The 22259-nt window shown below is 35.9% G+C and overlaps 1 protein-coding gene across 23 annotated transcripts in view, besides 1 other annotated feature; it reads left to right on the top strand.

Moving 5' to 3' along the window:
• Window positions 1-22259, top strand: part of TSGA10 (testis specific 10) — a 157706-nt gene that overhangs the window by 70097 nt on the left and 65350 nt on the right. For 21 of the 23 annotated variants that reach the window (NR_146001.2, XM_047445934.1, XM_047445931.1 and 18 more), the window contains 6 exons: window positions 3473-3588; window positions 6057-6211; window positions 11797-11852; window positions 12996-13164; window positions 15872-15982; window positions 19746-19931. Coding sequence is in view for 22 of the 23 variants with exons in the window: in XM_047445934.1 (XP_047301890.1) it covers window positions 3473-3588; window positions 6057-6211; window positions 11797-11852; window positions 12996-13164; window positions 15872-15982; window positions 19746-19931 (793 nt within the window). In the remaining variant the exon portion in view is untranslated. The remainder of the gene's footprint in view (window positions 1-3472; window positions 3589-6056; window positions 6212-11796; window positions 11853-12995; window positions 13165-15871; window positions 15983-19745; window positions 19932-22259) is intronic. The other 2 variants (NM_001349013.2, NM_001349014.1) reach the window with 1 other exon arrangement.
• Window positions 2313-3071: an enhancer, noted in NCBI's record as "NANOG hESC enhancer chr2:99698262-99699020 (GRCh37/hg19 assembly coordinates)". NCBI's record gives its function as "activates a minimal SCP1, AML or CMV promoter by ChIP-STARR-seq in naive H9 embryonic stem cells {active_cell/tissue: H9 hESC(naive)}" and the evidence as "EXISTENCE:reporter gene assay evidence [ECO:0000049][PMID:30033119]".

Genomic DNA, 22259 nt, shown 5'->3' with positions numbered 1-22259 from the left:
TTGGCCCTGGGACACATTTTGCCATGGAGATATAAGTTATTGTGTAAAACAATGCTCTTGGGTGACTAACAATATCAGCCTCTTTGAGTTCATGGTATGGGGGGATGGGAGAGACGCTGATGCCATAAAACCACTATCACTTTCTGCCTCATATACACCTGCTTTGTCAGTTTTTCACCTTTTGCTACCCTAGATGAAGAGACATCAGGAGGCTCTATTAGTCTATTCTTGTGTTGCCATAAAGAAATACCTGAGTGTGGGTCATTTTAAAAGAAAGGAAATTTATTTTAGCTTATGGTTCTGCAGGCTGTACAGGAAGCATGGTGCTGGCATTTGCTTCTGGTGAGGGCACGAGACAGCTTGCCATCTTGGTGGAAAGCAAAGGGGGAGCCAGTGCATCACATGACAAGGGCAGGAGCAAGAGAAAAGGGGAGGTCCCAGATTTCTTTGAACAGCCAGATCTCATGTGAACTAACTAGCGAGATCTCACTTATCACCAAGGGGATAGTGTTAAACCATTCATGAGGGACCTGCCCCCGTGATCCAGTCATCTCTTCCCCAGGCCCCACTTCCAACATTGGAAATCACATTTCAACATGAGATTTGTAGCGGACAAACATCCAAACCATATCAGATGCATTCCTTAACAGCCTTGGCTGCATATTAGAATCAAATGAGGAGCTTTAAAAAACAATAGTGATGTTAATTCTCATTCCCAGAGATTTTAATTTAATTGGCATAATTGTGCAGCCTAACTCTAGGACTTTTTTTTGTTTTGCTGCTTTAAAATAATTTCATAATTTGTAGGAAGTTACAAAAATATACAGATAAGTCGATGTATTCCCGTCACCCACTTTCCCACAATGATTACATTTTATATCACTATAGTACAATATCAAAGCCAGAAAATTGACATTGGTACAATGTGTGTGCATAGTTCTGTCATTTTATCACATATGTAGTTTCATGTAACTACTACCACATTCAAGACACGGAAAGTCTATTACCGCAAAAATATCCCTCATGCTACTCCTTTACAGTCACATCTCCTCTTCCCCCACCATGATCCCTAATATCTGACACTAATCTGTTGTCCAACTCTGTAATTTTGTCATTTCAAGAATGTTATAGGAAGAGTCATACAGCCATGATTTTCAAGATTCGCTTGAAAACTCAGAATAATGCCATTGAGATCCAGCCAAGTATTAAATTTTGCTACTTTTTAATATTGCTGAGTAACATTCCATAGTATGAATGTACCATAATTTGTTCAGCTATTCACCTGGTGAGGGACATTTTGATTTTTTCCAGGTTTTGGCTGTTAAAAATAAGGTAGACCATATGCATTTAATATAATTATTGGTAGGGCTCAATTCTCCATGTTATTTTTTGGGGGTGTTTTTCGTTTGTTTCTTTCCTCTGTTTCTCATGTCTCTGTTTTTGTTTTCCTGCCTTTTCATGGATTACTTGACATTTTTTAGAATCCCATTTTTGATATCTGTAGTATTTTTGAGTGTCTATAGATTTTTCAGTGGTTGCTCTGTGAATTGTACTTACTTATCACGATCCACTGGTGTCACATTTTATCAGTTTGCATAAAGTATAGAAATCTTGTCTCCTTTTAAGTCCTTTTATCCTCCCCCATTTATAATTGTCTTAATAGATACAGGTTAATACCTCTTTAGTCTTGGATTTCATCTTTTATTAGGTATTATTTTGTTGAATATTGTCTTTATTCTTCCCTACTGGGATTTTGATTTGGTAAATATTGGACCTTCTTATTCTGTCTTTTATGTCTGTTAACCTCTATTTTGTATTTTTTCATTGTTTTATTTGTGCTCTAATATAGGACCTCTGATCTGTTTTTTTCCCCAGTTTACCAGTTATCTCTTTCACAGTGTCTATTCTGTATTTTTAACTTGTCCACTGAGTTTTGTAATCTTTAAAATTTTGATGTTAGTTTAATTTTGTGAAGTTCTATTTGGTTCTTTTCCAAATTTGTTGATTATTTTTTTCTTTATATATCCTATTATTTTATGTGTTTGTATTTAAACACATGTATTTCTAAGTTTCTATTTGATAGTGCTGTAGTCTGAAGTTCTTAGGGATCTAATTTAGTTTGTGTGTCTTTTGACTCCCACTAAGGTTGGATTGTTTCTTGATGTATTTTTAAATTTTGAATTATGAGATCCTTTTCCATAGGCCTTTGTCTGGGGTTAGTTCTGTGCTTGGGTTGAGAGCATGCCTCCAGAGTTTTGCAAGGGGTTCCTGATTATATGACCAATCGGGAACCAAATTTTATTTTGATGCTTAGATTGAGATTAAGACTCTTTGTTGTGTTATACCCAAGCGAGTTAGAGAAAACGCCACACTTTGAGACGAATTAAGAGTCCTTTATTAAGCCGGCGGCCAAAGAGACGGCTAACGCTCAAAATTCTCTCAGCCTCGAGGAAGGGGCTTGATTAACTTTATACCTTAGTTTAGGAAGGGGAGGGGAGCTCAAATGCAATAATTCTACAGAAGTAAAAACATGCAAGAATCAAAAAAACAAATGGTTACAGAGAGATTAACAATTTAAAAGGCAAATGGTTACAAAAAAAAGCAACGGAACCAGGTGCGGGGCTCTAAATCCTTTGTTAGATATGGATGCTATGCTGGACACAGACTCAAGGCTTTATGTTGTTATCTTTTTGAGCAAAATCCTGGGAACTTCACACATTGTTTGTTCCAGTACCTTATCAGTTAATTTGGCTCCTTTGAAATGCTGAGGGTCTGCTTACACAGGTTAACTCCTTGAGGAAGGGGGTCGGGTAAGGAGCCCTTAATGTCTTGTAAATCAAGGGGCCAAATGGAGTTTGTCCGGCTTTCCCAGCTAAGGGAGAGTCTTATTTATATGGGAAACAAGGCTAGGTAGTTAAGGAGACAAAAAGGGAAAATTTAAAAATAGAGTTAGTAAAAAACAAGGTTAGGCATTACAGTTGTTATTATTTTCCTGAGCCTAGCAGCAATTGACAAGGTGTTTTTCTCTAGTCTGACCTTCTCACTAATGGTATATCTCTCCATATTTACATGGGACACCTTAGTTCTATTTCCTGTGTTGCAGACATCTCTATGGCCTCATCTTGTTTCTGAATTAAAACATAAAACCCTAGGCTATTGAGACAGACAAACCCCAACCAGAGCTAACATAGTAGTTCCTAATCTGATTGCTCTGATTTGGCATTAGGGGACCTAAGGAAGGTATTATGACCAAAATGCTAATAGTAGCTTATGTTGGAGTGGTGGATTGAAGATCCCTTCTTACCCTTTATTTTTTAAACTTCCTGGTTTTATAATGAAAATATTAAAACTGTATAAAAATATTAAGAGGAAATAAATATATTAGTGTCCTTAAAAGTTTTTAGATTTAAACACACTACAAGATGACAAAACAAAAATTTCAGAATTAGTTTTATTATTAAAATATTTGCAGACTTTTGTATGAAAACACAGAAAAAGATCTTTCTGATACTCAGCGACACCTTGCTAAGAAAAAATATGAGCTACAGCTTACTCAGGAGAAAATTATGTGCTTGGATGAAAAAATTGGTGAGTTTTTTTCTCTTAATATTACTTTTAGTTTTTCTTAAGTTTGGTAGCAAAGATGTATTTTCTTCTCTTCAGTATAACATAGAAAAACTTGGAAACAAGCCCTTAACTAAGTTTATGAATAAAAAATAGTAGAGAAATTCATTTTTCTTTGACAGCAAAATTTTTTAGATTTAGCACCATAAGTACTTAGTGATAAGTTAAAATTTATCAATGAAGTAATAGCTAAACTCAGCAGCAACAGTTTGTAAACTTACGATGATAACTTAAATTTGAATTTTTTGTGTAATATTGTAGCTTGTCCATAGCTGCTGTAATGAAACAGTACCTATATATTACTTTTGGTGGAAAGTGTACATATGTTTAGTTATGTCTAGCGAGAACTCACTTATCACCAAGGGGATAGTGTTAGTTATGTCTATGATATTACTGGGGTTTATAGAGAAAGTTACTTTTTTAAAGTTTCTTATTTATGTTTCTTGTTAGTGATCAGTATGAAAATATGGTCCTAACTTAATCTTACAGGGTAAAATTTTGGTCAGGGCTATAGAAGAGCCTATTTTAAAGCAGAGGAAATATTGTTAACACTTGCTATTATATAGTTCAAGAATGTCTGGTATAACCAACTAGGTAGATGGAGATACTATTTATCAAACCGGGAAATATTAAAACAGAAATATAAAAGATAATATTGAAGGAGAACTCACATTTGGGTATTTTAAGTCCCAATAAAGATCTAAGGTAAGCAGCTGAATATTTAAGTTTGTGTCTCAGAAGAGAAAGATACATATTTGGGACACATCAGCATATAAATGATATTTTAAAACCGTGAAATTACCTAGGGAAATATAGAGAATGAGAAGAGGATCCAGGACTGAGTAACAAGAAGCCAAAGAAGTAGGAAGAAGACCCAGAAGTGAGTGTTATTTTGGAAGACCAGAAAGCGAAGTGTTTTTAAAAGGGGAGGATATGATCAATTGTCAGACACTTTTGAGAAGTGAAATAAGTGAGGCTAAAGAAAAATATTGATTGGATTTGGCACATTGGAAGATTTGGTAACACCAAAAAAAAGTTTGAATGGAGTGTTGGATGTAGAAGATAGAGTGGGTTGAGGAATAAATGGGAAGTGAAGTCAGGACAGAAAAGAATAGAAGTCTCTCAAGAAGTTTGGCTATTAAAGGGTAGCAAGAAAATAAGGTAATAGTTTGAGTGGGCTGTTAGGTTGATAATTTTTTTAAGCTAGGAGATACTAGAGCTATTTTAGAGATGTATTGATTGTTTGATTGCCAGTGGGAATGAACTCAGATATCAGGACACACAAAACATGCGGGTTGTCTTAAAGGCAATACTGCCTGCAAAAAGAGACATGGTGTATTCTCCAGTACTATATAGATCAAGCTTTTGGCATATGACAATATGGTATTATCTCCCATAGCACTGCTCCTGGATGGCCCTCACAGGTATTAACCTAGTAGGGATTAACCTAGAAGTCTGTCTAACAGAGCTTCCCTTGTAGAGCTCTAGACCAGTGGTTCTCAAACTTTCATCTGTGTCAGAATCACCTTGAGAGCTAATAAAGATCACTGGAGCCAGCCTCCTTGAAGTAGGCTAGAACCAGAGCTTTTGTGTCTCTAACAGTTTCTGTAGGTAAATCTAATACCTAGAGTAGGTAAACTCCTCTAGACGAGTGGTTCTCAATCCTCATTATACATTAGAATCACTGGGGAAAGAAGGAGTTTTTAAAGCATAAATTGCTGTGCCCTCCCCCAGAATTTCTGATTCAGTAGGTCTGGAGTGGAGGCATAAGAATGTACATTTCCCAGGTGATGCTGATGGTGCTGGTTGAGAAACCACAATTTGAAAACTATTCTTCTGTACCAATCATTCAGGCCTTCAACGTTGACACTGGCTTGCAAGAGTTCTCACAGATTGAATCATACTTCCTGGGATGATTTTTTTTCCTAGGAATTTTTATAACACTACTTTAGAAATACCAGAATATTAGAAGACATTTTACTTTAAAGATGACTTAATTGAATATTTTATTAAGATTTGTTACTTACCAACTTTATATACAACAGTGATTCTAGGCTAGAGGGAGGGGAGGGGAAACTACAGGAGAGAAATGCCGCAGATTGTTTTGATATTCCACTTACTTCATCCACCCACTCTCTCTTTTCCCATCATACATTAAGTCTACTTTGACAGCTTGCGATGTAGAGCTTTCCTTCACTATTCTAATTCATTGTTATTGTGCTTTTGTGTTTATGCATCATTTAGAGTTTTGTGATTCACTGTAGTTTTTAACCAAAAAAATTTTTTTAATTTGGGATATAGTACTCATTGTTAGTAATTGAATATAATATATATTAGAAGTAAGGAGAAGTTCAAAAAGTACGATAATCTGCTTGAAATAGAAAAAAGATTTTATTTTGATTAAAACAACACTTTTATGATTGCATACATAGATAACTTTACAAGGCAAAATATTGCACAGCGAGAAGAAATCAGCATTCTTGGTGGAACCCTCAATGATCTGGCTAAAGAAAAGGAATGCCTGCAAGCATGTTTGGATAAAAAATCTGAGAATATTGCATCCCTTGGAGAGAGTTTGGCAATGAAAGTATGTTCTGAGAACTGTGGTTTATAAGAAACGTTTAAATGAAATGTTAAATGTTAAACTATGGTTTAAAAGAACTAGAATCTGAATAAAATATTTGAATTTTCTCAAATGTTTTTCTAGAAGCTGGAACTTCAAAATCTGACTTTGAAATATTTTAAGATAGTCTTAGGAAGCATGTGTACAAATCTAGTAGCTAATATTTTAAGTTGATTTTTCTATCATGAATTAGTAATTAATATCAATTGGCAAGAACTAATTCAGATATCAAAATATAAAGCATGACAATAAAGTAGTGAGACTGATTTCTTCTTAAAAGCATATTTTCAGGTAGTTACCCTTTGTAATTGTGTTTAGAACTAGGAACACTTTTTTTTTTTTTTTTTTTTTCAAACGGGAGTCTTCCTCCCTTGCCCAGGCTGGAGTGCAGTAGCGCGATCTCGGCTTACTGCAAGCTCCGCCTCCCGGGTTCAAGCAATTCTCCTGCCTCAGCCTCCCGAGTAGCTGGGACTACAGGTGCCTGCCACCACGCCTGGCTAATTTTTTGTATTTTTAGTAGAGGCAGGGTTTCACCATGTTAGTCAGGATGGTCTCAATCTCCTGACCTCGTGATCCGCCCACCTCAGCCTCCCAAAGTGCTGGGATTACAGGCATAAGCCGCTGCACCCTGCCCTAGGAGCACATTTTTACATCATCCTCAGGCTTTGAGAATAGATCATATAGGGCTGGTGAATAAAGCTGGATGATAACCTCCATCCCACATTTTTGTTGTTGAAAAAAGATGTTGCCGGCCGCGTGCAGGCCGGGTGCGGTGGCTCACGCCTGTAATCCCAGCACTTTGGGAGGCCGAGGAGGGCGGATCATGAGGTCAGGAGTTCGAGACCAACCTGGCCAACATAGTGAAACCCCCGTCTCTATTAAAAATACAAAAAATTAGCTGGGCGTGGTGGCGGGCACCTGTAATCACAGCTCCTCAGGAGGCTGAGTCAGGAGACTCGCTTGAACCCCGGAGGCGGAGCTTGCAGTGAGCCGAGATTGGGCCATTGCACTCCAGCCTGGGCGACAGTGCGAGACTCTGTCTCAAAAATAAATAAATAAAATAAATAAAAGGTGTTGCCAACAAGGCAGAGATACTGATATTATTTTCTAGCTTATAAACTGATTTCTGAAAGCAGTTCCTAAGCTGTTTTCACAAATATCTTAAGCAAAAGCAGCATCATTGGAATAAGGGCTTTATTAGTTTACTTTATTACTAAGGTAACTCATTCATTAATTTATGTTTCCATCCATCCATTCATTATTTCAACAAACATTTGTTGACATGTACCAGATGTTATGTTAGAAACTGAGGGTGAGGCAGGGGCATGGTGGCACATGCCTGTAGTCCCAGCTACTTGGGAGGCTGAGGCAGGAGTATCACCTGAGCCTGGGAGGTGGAGGTTGCAGTGAGCCTAGTTTGTGCCATCCTACTCCAGCCTGCATGACAGAGCAAGACTCTGTCTCAAAAAAAAAAAAAAAAAAAAAAAAAAAAAAAGGTGAATGGTCCGCCTTCTCAAAGCCTCTAGTGTAATAAGGAGAGAGATAAAGATACTGTTATGACAGAATACATTAAGTGCCATAATGACATATGCACAATGTGTTGTTGGAATTGGGCAAAAACACACCTGATTCAGCCTGGGAATTGGGTTAAGGGAGGAGGAAGGTCTGGAAAAATCTTCCATTAAGTGATGGTGCCTGGACTACCCTGAAAAATGACTAGATAGTAGTCAGGAGAATATTTGAATGACTAGATAGTAGTCACTGAATGACTAGATAGTAGTCAGGAGAATGACTAGATAGTAGTCAGGGAAAGAAGACAATGAGAAAGGGTGATCCAGACAGGTTGAACAGCTTAAGTGAGAGTCCAGTGGCTTTCATGAGAATTTCATGAGACTTCCTGATAGTTTAGCATGGCCAGAGAACAGGTTGTAGAGAGATAGATATGGGAGGGCAAAGAAAAGATGGGATAGGCATACAGTCCCTTCTCTGCTGTGATGCTCATTGCAACCTTACAGTGTGTGTATGTGTGTGTGTATATATGTATATAACCCATCTCTTCATGTATCTATATCTATATCCCATAGAGATATAGATACATGAAGAGATGGGATAGTTAAGCAAAAAAATCATAAAAGTACATGTGATGTTGAGTGTGAGATCTATCATCATGGATATAGAGGGTCACTGAAATAATGATAATGAAATGTTACAATTAGGTCTTTATTTTATAACAAATATTCTGGCATTTGTAAATTCGTATAAAAGATGGATTATAGGGAAATGAGAGTAGTGACAGGGACACTAGTTAAGAAAACAGTGTTGAGAGCTATATTAGAATAGTAGGAGTATCAGTGAGAGAAATAGGTCTCTTAAGGAAGTAAAATTGACAAGGTATGGTTTCTGGCTTAAGAATCACATGGATAGTTCCTATGTATGAAGGAAGAAACAGGAACTAGAACAGGCTTAGAAAGGAAAGTTATTGACATGTTGAGTTTGAATTGTCTTTGGGTTATGTAGGTGAAATATTGAAATATTTAAAGGCTCTTGGACTTTTAGGTTTGGAGGAAAATTTAATTAAAGTTAATAGATTTGGGAATCATGAACATAATTGAGGTCATCAAAGGGCATGAGATGGTAAATACTTGTGGAAAAGGCTGACTCATTGTTTTGAAATTTTAGGTTTTTTAGGTAGAATTTTGCTTCTCATTATATTCAAAACATTTTTGAATATTTAAGCATGATTTCCTTTCACAACACTAACATTTAGAAGCAAAATTCTTCACATCTTTCAAAATCTCATTTTCTTGTGCTATATCTAATATTTCACATTTCTTCCATTCTGCGAACCGTAACAATGTTATATTTCCTTCACAAGCAATATTGAGTTACAAGTCTACTTCAAAATCAAGAACTTTGTATAAGATTTTATGAAAGTAAACACATCCATCCTCTGTAGGGAAAATAACTTGCAAGGTACCATTAGGCAATCAAAAGAGGAAATGTTCTCTATAATGATACCTCAGAGCTGAACTAACAAAGGCTACTCAGTGAAAACTAATACTGTTCATATAGAGATTACAGAAATAAATTAGCATGGAAAAGTCTACATTATAGTGAATAAAGTGATTTTTTTCTAGTATCCATGGTTTAAAAAGATGTTTTACTACTTGCTACCAATTAAAATTAGAAAACTCAATGGCAACTTCATAGATTTTTGGGTAAGAAAAACCAGAATTATTTGAATAAAGTTATAGTTTATTTTTTCTAAATATACTTAGCACCATCCTGTCCAGACTGAATTTTGACAGTTAACATGAATCTACATCCCTAGTTGGACAACATATGAGGTTGAATAAGAAATATTAAATATTATTTTAAAAAATTGTTAAACCTTGAAGTTGTACAAGGAATACATCTTAGAACATACTGAGGTTGTACAAGGAATGATGGCACATTTGAGAAATGGTGGTATTAGGGTCATATTAAGAGAAAAATAGGCTAAGAGTATATGTTATTGGATTCAACCCAGAAATTTTGTTGCCCTGGATACTTTACAATGTTTCTAGAGTATTTTTTTTTAAGATGCACTTATATTGATAAAGTGAAGCCCTTTTTAGGCTTATCAAACATATTTTAAGGTTAATCAAGAAAGGACTTTTTTTTTTTTTTGAGACGGAGTCTCTGTCACCCAGGTTGGAGTGCAGTGACACAATCTCAGCCCACTGCAACCCTCGCCACCCGAGTTCAAGTGATTCCCTGCCTCAGTCTCCTGAGTAGCTGGGATTATAGGCGCCCACCACTGCACCCGGCTAATTTTTGTATTTTCAGTAGAGATGGGGTTTCACCATGTTGGTCAGGCTGGTCTCAAACTCCTGACCTCGTGTTCCGCCTGCCTCACCCTCTCAAAGTGCTGGGATTACAGGCATAAGCCACCGCATTCGGCCTCAAGTAAAGACTTTCAAAAGCACTAGTTCAACTAGCTTTTCAGAATTTGTTTAGAAATGTATTAAATTATATTTCAAAAATGTGTAAACATTCCATTTTATGGAGTATTTTGTCTTTTAGTTTTTCCTTCGTTGGCTTGTCCTTCTTGAAGGGGTTTAACTTTTTTTTTAATGCATATTTTAACAACACACCAGTATCTATTACTGCCAGATGTGGAATCTGTACCATTCCATGAGAAAGCAGAATGGGAAACTGTAGCTAAAAATACCCTGGAGAAGAGCACATGAATAAAGGAAGATAGCACACACACACACACACACACACACGCAAATATGTGTAAAACTAACGCTAAAGAAATAGGAACGGCCGGGCGCAGTGGCTTACGCCTGTAATCCCAGCACTTTGGGAGGCCGAGGTGGGTGGATCACTTGAAGTCAGGAGTTTGAGACCAGCCTGGCCAACATAGTGAAACCCCGTCTCTACTAAGTATACAAAAAATTAGCTGGGCATGGTGGCGCATGCCTGTAGTCCCAGCTACTTGGGAGGCTGAGGCAGGAGAATCGCTTGAACCTGGGAGGCGGAGGTTGCAGTGAGCCGAGATCGCGCCCTCGCACTCCAGCCGGGGCATCAAGAGCAAAACTCCATCTCAAAAAAAAAAAAAAAAAAAAAAAAAAAAAGAAAAGAAACAGGAACAGAATTGGTTGGAAAATATAGGTTTGGGTTTTTAAAAATCTTTTTACTTAGTTACTTAAAATTTGAAAATTCAAATGGCAAGGTGAAATCTAGTTATTACTTAGTGAAATAACTTTCTTACTTTTTTAGGGCTAATGTTAGCTCTAAGTATCTGTTTATAGTTGGACTAGTTCAGGGTCAATGGAAGTTTTAAAAAGAGGTGTGGGAATGGTATTAAAGGCATTAAGATATTCAAACCCATTTCTGCCTTGACTGACTCCACTACTTCTACTCCCTCATCACGCCTTTGAAAAAGGAAAATATAGTTTATTTCTCTTACCTTTGCTCGAGGCCTAATGCTTACCTTCTTATTAGCTCTCACCTAAATATCAGTAGTATACTTCTATAAGTAATTGGATTGGAACAGCTTTTTGAAGATTTTGTTGCTGGCTAATATAAATAATACACTTAATCAAAATTATTCTTAAAAACTAAATTTAGGTATACATGATTGGCTTCTCTGGGTTTTATAACATAAAGAATGTGAGCAAGAGAACCAGTTCTAAATCCCAGTATAAAATGCCAATACTCCAATGCCAAACCATTGGTTTGCCTCCAAAAACAGGTGGTTATAGGGTTCTTGTATTGCTGGGTGACTGCATAAAATATCTTTTGACAAAGAATTTGATATACTGATCTCATAATTACACCTAAGTATAGCCTTTACTTTAATGAACATAATCTATTTTTACCCAGTGCAAATATTCACATTGATATACTAGGCTTTAAAGTGTGGAAAAGAATAGGACATACATGTTTTTAAAACCAAATGGAAACCTAAAGGGAAAGGGAAATTTTCTTTTTGTTCATTCAATTTTAACAGAAATAACAGCTTAAGATTTTTTTATTTAATACTTATATTATTTTTCAAGGAAAAGACCATTTCAGGCATGAAGAATATCATTGCTGAGATGGAACAGGCATCAAGGTAAATCAGTCGTGCAACAAATATATGAGCTCTTACTGGGGGGCCAAGTACCATGTTAGGTACAAAGATAGTAAGAAACAAGGGGCTTAATGATACGTGTAAGGTGCTAACTCTCTCATCAAAGGAGGCCTAAGTCTGTCTAAGGAACTAAAAGAGGGGATGGTGTTTGCCAAGTAAAATAAGGGGAAGGGAAGGGCATTTAAAGTAGAAAGAATAGCAAAGAACCACAGATCATGTTGACAAGCCTCTTGACCTACAAGTGGGTGAGTGTTGTTGAAACCTAGAGTGTAAGGGGAGAAGTGAAGGGAGGAGACTAAATAGGCAGGCAGAGGCTTGTGTAACAGACAAATGAGTATTGGTTATATCCTTTGGGCAATAAGAAATCATTAAAGAATTCTGAGGAGAATTTTGTGTTAGAAAGATACCTAAGCAGAAGAGGTGGTGATAAATTGGGGTTTAGGAGTTGTGGGACAGAAGGAGTGAAATGCTTTTGTATGAGGGAGAGACACCAGGAAAATGCCAAGTTTCTGGCCAGGGACAAATACTGAACATGAAGAAAGTATGAGGAGAAAAAATGATTTTACCTCTGAATTTGAAGAACCTTTGGGACCTTATTGTAGACATGTCTAGTAAGCAGTTAAATATAAGTCTGGAGTATAACAGAGGGTCTAAAACTGGAGATAATTATTTTGGAGTCATTGGATCTAGATGGGGTTGGGAACCATGGATATGAATAGAGTTTGTCTGAGAGAAGGGTTAGAGTGAGAATAATTGGGAGGCTAGGGCTTGAGCCCTGAAAAGCATTAATTTTTAAGTGGGCAGAGGAAGAGGAATCTGTAAAGGAGACTAAGCCATAACAGAAGTAGGATGAAAGCCTTCCTAATACTTGATGTAAGAAGTTTTGAAATATTTGGCAAATCATTGACTATTATGTATACTTTGTATCCTTTTCATAGCGAAATGATGGCAACATTGAGAAACTCTAATGCACTGTCTTTGCAGTATTTATTCCTATAAATTCAAACGTGTTTAAAATCTCTTCAAATGTTTTCATACTAACTGTCCATCTTCTGTCTTGTGAGAATTTGTTGCTCTGTTTCAGTAAAATGTCTCTTCTTATGTACTCTTTGATTTGTGGAATAGACAGTGTACTGAGGCCCTAATTGTGTGTGAACAAGACGTTTCCAGAATGCGTCGGCAATTGGATGAGACAAATGATGAGCTGGCCCAGATCGCCAGGGAAAGAGATATCTTGGCTCATGACAATGACAATCTCCAGGAACAGTTTGCTAAAGCTAAACAAGAAAACCAGGTACACTTGTTCCTAGAATCATTTTCTCCAAGAAAAAAAAATATGAATTTCTTGTGAGGAACAGCCCTCATTTTATTTTATAGAAGAGCTCAGACACTGGAACTAGCCTTTTCTTTTTTTTAAAAAATAACAAAATAGGCCACATAATTTTTAAATGGAATTCTCAGACACAAAGGGTTAAATATTAAAGAAAAGAGAGAACAGGGCTATATTTGTATTAAAGCTTAGTACTTCCTTGCTGAAGGATAAATATTTGAATAATCAAAAAATGAGAATAAAAACCTTGAGAAACCTTAAAGAAAAGAATAGGTGTTTTTTTTTTAAAAAAATGGACTACATATTATTCTGTTTTAAGTATGAATGTATGGACTGTGCCTTGTTTTTTGGTTCTCATTAGCACTGTGATTCTTTTTAGGAAAGTTCCTCTTATAATTACTCTTTCTCCCTAAGGCAATATATTTAAGTCTAATCTGCAGTTCTCATTTCCAATAACATTTATTTTAACGTGAACATTTAAAAATCCTATTTGGAAAATTTCTTCCCTTCTCAAAATTTTTAAGACCAAATGGTTTTCCCCACTTTGTATCACTTTCAGTGTGTTTAGTTTGCATCCTGAAAGTCTGTGTTCTTTAACTGTTGAAGATTATTAATTTACTTAAACAGCTATAAAGCTGTAATACTTTGTTAATCATAAAAAATTATCTGAGATGTTAAAGTATTTTGTTTAAAAGTAAATGAATAATGGGATCCTGGAATAGAAAAAGGACATTATGTAAAAAAGGAAAGAAATCTGAATAAAGTATGGACTTCAGATAATAATGTGTCAATATTGGCTTATTAATTGTGACATATGCACCATACTAATGTAAAATGTTAACAATAGAGGTGCCCTTTATAATGTCTTCACAACTTTTCTGTAAATCTAAAACTATTCTAAAAGTTTATTTAAAAAATTAATGAATAGCAATAAAAACCAAAACATGGGAATTTGTAAGGTTTGCCTTTGTGTACTCTTTACAGCTAGAGCATATGGGCTAAAGGTGGATATATCTTATTTATGAAAACCTAGAAATTTAGTTTCTATTTTTTTGATTGGTTTAGAAATAGAAGCTTATTATAGAAAGTCTTTTTTCTAAACAAAAAGTTAAGAGTTTAGAAAAGCCCCCATGTTTTTGATACTCAGTTACTGTTATATTTGACATATTTTTTTAATTGCTATACAGTGCACTTAAAAATTTTAACACTATTTTTATACACATTTTCTAATGTAGTGGGATAAAATCACCTATCACTTTAGATCATGCTTTTTTCTACATGAAGAGGCAGTAGAGTCGAGTAAGATTCACATGGGTTGAATCTTGCTCTCTGCGTGTGTGATCATATAAACCAACTTCTCTGAGTCTCTGTAGCATCTGTAAAAATGGTTAATAAGTGAGACTATACCTGGAAAGCACTTACTGTACTGTCCAGTATATCACTCAATAAATATTTTATAGCTATTATTAGCTTACTATAATATTGTAAGCATTTTCCTGCCTTGTTCAAACTTTGTAAACATTTTTTATAATCAGAAGAAAACTGTTGTCATAACAATTTACATATGCTCAAAAGTAGTTTTTTCTTCGTTATGGTCATAGGCCCAAGGTAGAAGAGAGGTCTCTCTCTGTGGACCACAGGTTAAGAACCAGTATTGCAGAAGACGAGAAAGTGGAAACTTAAAAAAAATTTATCCTTGATACCACAATTTTTAACAAATTGGGATAATGAGGTATTTTTGTGTTTTAGCACGATTTTTTTTTCACTTAACATAGGCAAATATTTCCCTGTATTATTAAAAATCATTCCAAACATTTCTCACAGGTATGTAATATTCCATTATGTGGTTATGCCACTATGTAGATATACTATTATTTACTGCATGATTCACTTAATGTGAATAAATATTGTCACTGTAACAAATGCCTTAATGACAGCATCTCATTAAATTTTATTAGATTTCATTTCAGAGTGAATCACAGATTATCAGGTTTCTTTTTAATTATTATTTATTTATTTATTTATTTATTTATTGTAGAGTTGGGTTCCCACTATGTTGTTCAGGCTGGTCTCAAACTCTTAGGCTCAAGTGATCCTCCCAAAGTGCCAGGATTACAGGAAAAACACCCAGCTGAGGTTTCTTTTTTAAATTAAAAAAATGTAAATAGACATTTTCAAATATAATGAATCCCCATGTGCCATTTCCCACCTTCAAAAATAATCAACATTTTTGTCTTTCTTGTTTTTATGAGCATTTAAAAATTGTCTCTTGATACATCACCAGATTCCTGATCACAGATTTGCTTTCTGCAAATCTACATTTACTCCAGTAGTACATGGAAATGCCCATTCTTTACCATAGCTGAATAGCTTTAAATCTTTATTAATTTGATAAGCAGAATAGTAATGTGTTGTTTTAATTAGCATATCTTCAGTTGCTAGTAGAGTTTTTTTCAGGTCTTACCTACTTATGCTTCCTTTTTTGAATTGCTTATTTGGGTCATTTGCCCACTTGCTATTGGGCTTATGTGTTTTCTTTTTTTATATGAGTTTATATATTAGGTATGTTAATTTTATTTGTTCCAAGTGTTTAAAAATTTGTTTATGGTATTTTTGAGATATAGAAATTTTTTATTTTTCATAGTCAAATATACCTATCTTTTTTTCGTAGGCACTGTCCAAAAAATTGAATGACACTCATAATGAACTTAATGACATAAAACAGAAGGTTCAAGATACTAATTTGGAGGTTAACAAGCTGAAGAATATATTAAAGTCTGAAGTATGTATTTTTTTTTTCTTTTTGCTCATGATACTTAGTTTTCACTAGAGTTAATTTAGAAGTTGGTATACTCAGAACGACAGGTGAATCAAAGCTTTCTTTAATACATAGTATATTTTAGTTTTGACAATGGTGGGTTAACTACATATTTAGAATGTTCAGAAAGATGCCTGGAGAATATGCCCCTTTTGTTTTGCAACTCTGCCACTCTAGACAAGCAGAATCTTCCTAACTGGATGATGGACAAAGGGCTAAAATCAATTTGACCTCGCTTATAATTAATTGAAAGTGGTGGGGTTTCCAGTTATAAACCTCTGACAAAAGAGGTTCCACCTGATTATGTAGCAGATCAGAATTGGTTACCCTGTTATGGGACCATCTATTTTTTTTAGGACCACAAGGCAGATGGTTCTCCTCACACTTCTCTGTTAGCAATCATTTGACCAGGCACATGTACATGACATCAGATGACTCCAATAAGTGTGGTGCATGTGTGGCAACTCAGGAATAAACAGGCAGCTTTACTGAGGATTTTAGATATGTCTATTAGGTAAAATATTATCTAAAATTGAGGGAGGATGTTCCCATTAATGGTTTGAGTGGTATGTAGGTAACACTATACCTATTATAATAATCAATCCACCTATACTATTTTATCATTTCATGTCAGTCCACAAACATATCTTGAACATTTATTTATGGTATGCATAGTACTGTTAAGGGCTTTGAGACAGAAGAGATTCTAAGGATTTCTAAATTGCAATCCTTGCTTTCAGGCAGCAAGCAGCCTGTGTAGGAAAAGCACGTGGTTTCCTACACTTCCTGATTTTAAGGTTCCAGCAATGTAATACCATAAATGAACAAAAGGCTTTTTATTTATGCAGGCTACTCAGCCTCTCTGATTCTTCCCATCTGTAATCGGGAAGAACACCCAAGTAAGTGAGATAATTTAAAACACCTAGCACAGTGAGCCATCTGAATCTATTCTAGAATAGGTCAGAAATAAATAAATGAATATCCAGAGCAACACTTTTTTTTTTTTTTGAGACAGGCTCACTGTATTGCCAGGCTGGAGTGCAGTGGTGCAATCGTGGCTCACTGCAACCTTTGCCTCCCATGTTCAAGCGATTCTCCTGCCTCCTGAGTAGGTGGGGTTACAGGTGCATGCAACCATGCCCGGCTAATTTTTGTATTTTTAGTAGAGACGGGGTTTCGCCATGTTAGCCAGTCTGGTCTCGAACTTCTGACCTGAAGTGATCCACCTGTCTCGGCCTCCCAAAGTGCTGGGATTACAGGCATGAGCCACTGCACTCACCCCAGAGCAACATTTAACATAGTAAGCTTTCAGCCAGTGTTAAACACTTCCCTTTATCTCCCTTGTCTGTTAGTAACATTACCTGAAATTCCACCATTAGGGATTATAACTTTTAGATTCTAGAATTATATTTTCAGACATCACACATCAAGCTTCTTAGGCTCAAGTGATCCTCCCACCTCGGCCTTCCGAAGTGCTGGGGATTTTAGCATCCTAGTATGAATTTGTTTATGAGATTGCATAACACTGGATGGATGCAGGCCCGGAGAGAATGAACCACGGATCCATTTTGATAGGGATAGACCATCAAGAAGTGTGGAGTACTTCATTCATTCACTCATTCATGCAGCGTGCTAGGTGCTGGAGTGCCAGAGATGAAAAATGGAGAGGAAACAGAATGACTGCCAGGCAGTGGGAACAACATGAGCAAAGGTGTAGGGGAAAAAGTAGGTCCTGTAGGTAGAGTAGTGTGTACAAGTGGATGATAAAGGAGAGGTAAGAAAGACCTTCTTTGAACCCTATTTTCAGAAGCTTTTGTTAGAACTAAAACATATAAGTTATTTAAGGATTGCCTTTTAGGAAGTTTATTTTGGAAACGTCAAGAATAAACCAGAAGGGTAACAAAATCAGAAGTGGAGAGAGCAGTTAGAAGAGGTTGTAACCATAATTTAGGCAAGAAATGCAAAGGATTCCAGCTGAGGCCTACGGAGTGTTGCAGTGAGACTTGTGGGTGGCCAGAGGGAGCTGTGGATACAGGGGAGGCACCATATAGAAGTAAAGAGATCCTGAAAGCAGGAAATAGAGAATACCAAAGAACAGTTTCATTTTCTTTATAGTGTTGCCTCTCATGCTCAACACTGCTCTGGCCTCTATGGGAGGATATGAAAAAGGGTAAAATATGCTTTCTGCTTGCCAAGAAGGAGGGAGCACTGGGTGGTTGGAGGACAGGAGAGACATTCTACGGAATCCCTTTTCACTTTGAATAATGTACTACCTGGTCACAGAACTAAATTTAATATAAAAATGGTTCCTGCTTTAGAGAAATACAAGGTGTTATCAGGGAGGCTTTACATCCACACCTAGCAACACAAAGCTGTAAGGCAGTTTTAAGTGAATGACATAGACAGTAAGTACTGCACAAAGTTAAAGAGGGTAAAGATCAATGTGAATACAATTCGTTTAAGTATATTGTACAAGCACCCTCCAAGTACATACTCTGTACACAACTATGATTGTTAGTACAATCATGGAAAACACATATCAGGTTCCTGCTGACACAGTTGGAGTATCTGAATCTTGAAAGCCAATAAGGTAGTTTAGTATATTGTTGACTAACACAGACTTGGCAAAGATCTTTCACATTAGAGGCCACAAGGTGGCAATATTAGCTGAATTTCCACCAGTAAACATAATCAGGAAATGGCTTATCTGATTTGAAAGGAGTATTAGACATTATTTATTGCAATTTGGTCATTTTATTTAGCCCAGGATTTCTGATAGGGACGTGCACTATTTATTAACAGGAGAGAAAGAGATCTAGTGCCTTTTAAAAAATTACCAAAATTACAACTAATTTTTTAGAATGAATTCACCAAACCATAATAAAATATTTTTTTAAATAGCCTAATAATGATTACTCGGTCTATTATATTGTTTGTGGAGCTGAATTTTTTTCCCTCCTTATTTCCCTACTAGAAATCAGACCCTACTTCAGTTACTCTGCTCATGATAGAATTTTGAAAGTTCAAAAAATCTGGTTCTTATTGTATGCTCAATTTATACATGAATGCATATTTACAACTAGTGTTTATTGGCATAGGTTTGATAGTTTACTTCTGAGCAATTTCAGGAAAGTTACTAGACTGGCAGGGAAAGTTACTAGACTAGCAGGTAAAAGATAATCATAGAACAGTTCATGATCAAGATAATTAAGGCTGGGGCTATGAATAAAAGGCAGACACCAGACAGGAAATTATCAGAAGCTGACATTTAAAATATGCAAGTACTCAGAAGCTCTGTAGCCAGCACAGCCCGGTAAATTGGTCAAGAACAAGGGAATACACCAGTACGAAAGGTCAGAGGCTCAGAATCCAGACCAGCAAGTAGTCAGTAAGCAGACATATGGGAAAAGCAGGCTGTGGAGGACTTCAAACAAAAGGAAATATAAGAACAAATTCATTCAGGTCTTGAAGAAAAGAGTAATTTACCTAAATTTACTATTTACTAGTGTTCACTGAGTGTTACTCAGGAGCCAGGGCAGATGCTGATTGCAGTCTTTGTTAATTACAGGATGACCTGTTTTCTAAACTAAGAGTATAGATATATTTCCTCAGGGTTCTATTATAAACGCTTCTCATGGCAAGTGAATTCCCAATGACTTGGATAATAATGTTTAATTTTTATCATATGTTCAGCATTTTAAAGTAATAGCTAAAGTTTGCTTTTCAGGAATCTGAGAACCGGCAAATGATGGAACAACTTCGAAAAGCCAATGAAGATGCTGAAAACTGGGAAAATAAAGCCCGTCAATCAGAGGCAGATAACAATACCCTCAAACTGGAACTTATCACTGCTGAGGCAGAGGGTAACAGATTAAAAGAAAAAGTAGATTCCCTCAACAGAGAGGTTGAGCAAGTAAGTTTGGAAAAATATGCTTATAATACATCCTGCATCATATTTAAAAGAGTTTTGTTTGGCCTTCCATAAATTAAATGTATGAACAAACACGTAAATTATTTAAATGTACTGTGAATTGTAGCATGCTAACCATTCTCCTTATACTTTGATTCTTCTACAATCTCTTATCTACCCTACATCCAGAACAATCATTAGCATTTGTTAAAATTAGAAACTATTTCAAACATACCATAAAAGTGCAAAAGTAACAAAACAGATAAACATATCCCCAGCTCCCACATGTAAGGATACTAACATTTTGCCATGTTTGCTTCAAATGTCTCCTTGTTTAAAGAAATAAAACATTACAGATAAAACTTCTCTCATCCTTTTCCCTCCTACCTCCCTAGTTGCTGGTGTGCATAACTTTCCTGTCAGTGTGTCTAACTCCTTTGCATATGTTTATACTTTTTCTACAATCTTACACCCACAAATAATGTATAATGTTATTTGGTATGTTTTGGTTTTTATTTAAGTGAAAACAAACATAGTTGGAGATATTCATTTGCAACTTGCCCTCTTTGCTCAATATTATAATTTTGACACATCTATTTTGATATATATATAGTGTACTGCTTTACTCAAACAGTTGCATATATTCATTGTATAAATATTCCCTTTTTAAAATTCATTCCCATATTGAAGGAAAGTTAATTTTTTTTCACTTTTTTCTGTGATAAAACACTGCAACAAACCTTTTACATTTCTCCTTGACTACATGTTTCCCTATATTTATGCCTGGAAGTGAATTTTAAAAAGCTATATGCCTGGAGTAGATCCAAGATATGTGCAATTTCAGCTCTTCTAAGTTTTTGTCAAATTGCTCTCTAAAGTGTCATTCTGCCATAAGAAATCCTGAGTTATTTTCTCAAATGTGAATCAATACTTGATATTGTCAGACAATTTTTTCCATACTTTTTGTCTTGTGCTTCCTTGATTGCAAGTGAAATTGAGGACCTTTTCATGTTTCTTTGCCATTTAGGATTCTTCCTCTATGAACATTTTCTTGAATTTCTCTTGAATGAAATTTTTGTAAACTTTGGCCATTTTTCTATTGCATAGCTTATCTTTTTCATATATATATATTTTTTTGAGATGGAGTCTCGCTCTGTCGCCAGGCTGGAGTGCAGTGGCGTGATCTTGGCTCACTGCAACCTCCGCTTTCCAGATTCAAGTGATTCTCCTGCCTCAACCTCCCAAGTAGCTGGGACTACAGGTGCGCACCACCCTGGCCAACTAGTTTTTTTTTTGTATTTAGTAGAGATGGGGTTTCACCATGTTGGCCAGGCTGTTCTCGATCTCTTGACCTCATGATCCACCCACCTTGCCCTCCCAAAGTGCTGGGATCACAGGCCTGAGCCACCACACCCTGCCTTCATATTGATTTTTAACGGAATTCTCTATGTATTCTTGATAATAATCCTCTTAAAGATATTACAATTATATTGTCCTTGTCTGTGGCTTGTCTTTTCACCTTCCTTGCAGTATAAACAGACATGTTCAGTTCTGATATACTCAGAATTATTATCAATATTTTCCTATATAGTTTATACTTTTATGTCTTCTTTAAGAAATCCTATACAATCCCAAGGCCAGAGAGATATTTTCCTATATTTTCATTTAAAAGTTCTTCTAAATGTTTGAAAGTATGTGAAATTTTGCCATTTACATTTAGGACTTTAACCTGCTTGAGATTGATTTTGTGCAGTTCGAAGTAGACATATAATTTTTATTTTTGTGAATAGATATCCGTTGTCCTTTCTTCTCTGAAATATAAGTCAAGTCTACTTTGTCATAAAAATAAGTTCCCATACATTCTGCTCCATTGGTCAATTTATCCCCTTGTCAATAACACACTCTTGTAGCTATTATAATTTTATGTTGAGTCTTGATATCTGGAAGAATTAATGTTCCCTCAAATTATCTGGACTGTACTTGGTCCTTATTAACCTGTCTCAGATGAATTTTAGAATAAATGTATCAGATTTCATGATTTTATTTCTTTTCTATGCATTGAAGACTGGAAATTTCTATTTTTTTGGGTGCAGCCACCTGCAGCCCACAAGTTTTGAGATAATCCTTTCATTGCCATTCAGTTTTTAATATCATCTCGTTTCATTATGATTTATTTTTAATTACTAAAGTTTGTTTGTCTGTTTGTTTGAGACAGAGTCTCACTCTGTTCCTAGGCTGGAGTGCAGTGGTACAATCATAGCTCACCGCAGCCTCCAATTCCTGGGCACAGGTGATCCATCTGTCTCAGCCTCCAAGTGGCTAACACTACAA

Source organism: Homo sapiens, chromosome 2, assembly GCF_000001405.40.
Source record: "Homo sapiens chromosome 2, GRCh38.p14 Primary Assembly".
Classification (NCBI taxonomy): Eukaryota; Metazoa; Chordata; class Mammalia; order Primates; family Hominidae; genus Homo; species Homo sapiens.
This window is presented reverse-complemented; position numbering and strand designations above follow the sequence as displayed.